Source organism: Homo sapiens, chromosome 4, assembly GCF_000001405.40.
Source record: "Homo sapiens chromosome 4, GRCh38.p14 Primary Assembly".
In the NCBI taxonomy this organism is placed as follows: Eukaryota; Metazoa; Chordata; class Mammalia; order Primates; family Hominidae; genus Homo; species Homo sapiens.
Window position 1 is genome coordinate 4,758,378 of NC_000004.12, and position 2,168 is coordinate 4,760,545.

The 2,168-nt window shown below is 47.4% G+C and overlaps 1 protein-coding gene across 8 annotated transcripts in view, besides 2 other annotated features; it reads left to right on the forward strand.

Annotated features, from left to right (window-relative positions):
- The window catches only part of LOC124900165 (uncharacterized), a 230,445-nt gene that overhangs the window by 216,247 nt on the left and 12,030 nt on the right, over positions 1 to 2,168 (forward strand). The window lies entirely within an intron of this gene.
- Positions 364 to 473: an enhancer, noted in NCBI's record as "active region_21231". NCBI's record gives its function as "activates an Ori minimal core promoter by ATAC-STARR-seq in GM12878 lymphoblastoid cells {active_cell/tissue: GM12878}" and the evidence as "EXISTENCE:reporter gene assay evidence [ECO:0000049][PMID:35858748]".
- Positions 547 to 962: a silencer, noted in NCBI's record as "fragment chr4:4760651-4761066 (GRCh37/hg19 assembly coordinates)". NCBI's record gives its function as "represses an EF-1alpha promoter that drives an FKBP-Casp9 reporter gene in an ReSE screen in phorbol 12-myristate 13-acetate-treated (for megakaryocytic differentiation) K562 erythroleukemia cells {active_cell/tissue: K562(+PMA)}" and the evidence as "EXISTENCE:reporter gene assay evidence [ECO:0000049][PMID:32094911]".

The following is a 2,168-nucleotide window of genomic DNA, read 5'->3' on the forward strand; positions in this document are numbered from 1 at the left end:
ACACTGGTCCTTTGTTGCCAGAAGGGTTCGATTCAAATCTCTTTGCTGGGCCAAAGCAAGCCATATTTATGCCTTTGGTTCAGACATGGAAGAAACAGAAAATTGATTATGTTCCTGTTGGTTTCATCAAACCCATCATATTCCTGGTATCCTCTGACAGTCTGCAATAAAGCAGTGAGATCTCAACCCTTCCCAGGCCATGGGGATGATGGAATCTGGGAAGCTGGCATCTTCAACAGCTGCTCCCAAATTGGCTGGGCTGTGAGATGAATCCTGTCTCCATAAGAAGACACACAAGATGCTTCTCTCTTCCGGAACCCCTTCCTGCATCTGGGTCACTGAGTCCCTTTCTAGGGAACCAAGTCACACAATGTTAATTCTCTCAGCTCGTCACTTCTTCCATATTCATTGAATGCTAAGCAAGTGTAAATGGAGTCAAGATTTCGTTCTGCAAATGCCTTACATATGCAATTGCTCATTTCAGAACCACTCACCTCGCACACGCCCATGATCTGAAACAGGTTTCTCAGTCGCCTGCTCCTGAAACAGCCCTACAGGTGCCCTGGCTGATCTCTGCAACCTCGGAAGGCTTAGGTGCTTTCCAAGGCCTCCCTGAGCTGCCGTTGTGGTGTGAAGAAGCTGGAGGAGGTTGGTTTTAGAAGAAAACAACCCAGTGGTCCAGCTCTGCCACTTTTAAGTTCTGCTTCATGCTGGAAAACCTTTTTCTTCTGTCAAATTTCAAGCACTAAATTTCCTCAACATACTTTCGAAGGCTCGTGTTTTATCCGTTTTTAATTAACTCATTTTGAAGCTTTCATACTTGTCCCCAAAATATTTTCTTGGCATTTCATGGTCATTGTTTTCCTTGGGAAGGCCGCCGGTGCTGCGGAGGAGGGTCACCGAGCAACATGGCTTGGCATTTGGACACGCTTTTGTTCCCTTCTCCCCGCCAGGCCTCTCTGGGGCTCTTGCATTTACTGTTAAAATATTACAGAGGCCCACACCCGAACGTCCATAATCCCCGGTGCTAGACTGTCTCTAATTGATTTAATTATTCATAATTGCTCAGCTGGGCTTATGCATACTTGTGCGTGATTATAGTGAACAGATGGGTCTGTGGCGGATGATGTGTCCCTTCCTGATTAGCGGGTGGATCTGGAGTTTCTGGGAGCCTGTCATGGCCTTGCGGACACTTGGACAGCACCTTTAGAAAGTTGGGATGAAACCCCTTAGCTTGTTGGCTTTAGTGTGGTGCCACCCTCGAACGTTTGCTTAAAATGTTTGGGAAATTAGAATTCTTGGTGCCAATGGAATTTAAAAACAAAAGACAGACAGAAACATTGGCAAAGGGTGGGGAAGGGCAGGGGTAGTTGGGTTCAAAGGAAAGGAAAGTAGGAAAGCAAGACATGGAGTAAAGCAAACAGACACCTGTCAACTAGATAGACCCTCAGCTCATCTCTCACGGGGCTGTCTGTCTGTCCACGTGCCTGTAGAACCACAAATCCAGCCCTAACATATACCTGAGATACTTTGGGAAAAAATGAACCTGCTGATATCTGGGGGCATGCAGGGAGGCAAATGGGATGCAGAAGCAAATTCCATCCCAACAAGATGAGATATCATCAGCCTGAGGGTCCCCTAATTGTCCCCATACGAGTCTTCTTAATTAATTCAAGACAAGTAAATGATACGAGGCCTCATAGGCTTCGCGGGGCAGCTTCCTGGTGACTAATATTTGAAGCAATAAAAGGAGCCAGAGCATTCCTGCTTCTTAATGGTCTCCAGTCATCCCCACCCTCGACCCAGCCCCACACAGCCCCAGCCTCCTCCGGCTTGGGTCAGAAAATAGCATGGACCAACTTTGGGATGCTTCTGGCTTTCTGGTCATTTACAAAGTGCGTTGGCATCTTTTCCCTTGTCTGAGCCTTGTGTAAAGTCAGGTAAAAAACAGGAGATTTGCCAGGGCAGGGAGTATGATTCCCATGATACACGGAAGGGAACTGAGGTTCTGGGAGAAAAGTGAGTTGGTGGAGCCACACTGCGGGAAGAGAAGTGAGGACTGGATTCTAGGCCTGGGGAGACGCTTTCCTTTCATCTCTTCCCTCCCTCCAAGTAGAGGCTTGTGAAGAGCTCACCAGAATATCTCATTCTGGGTTCTGTGTTCCTAG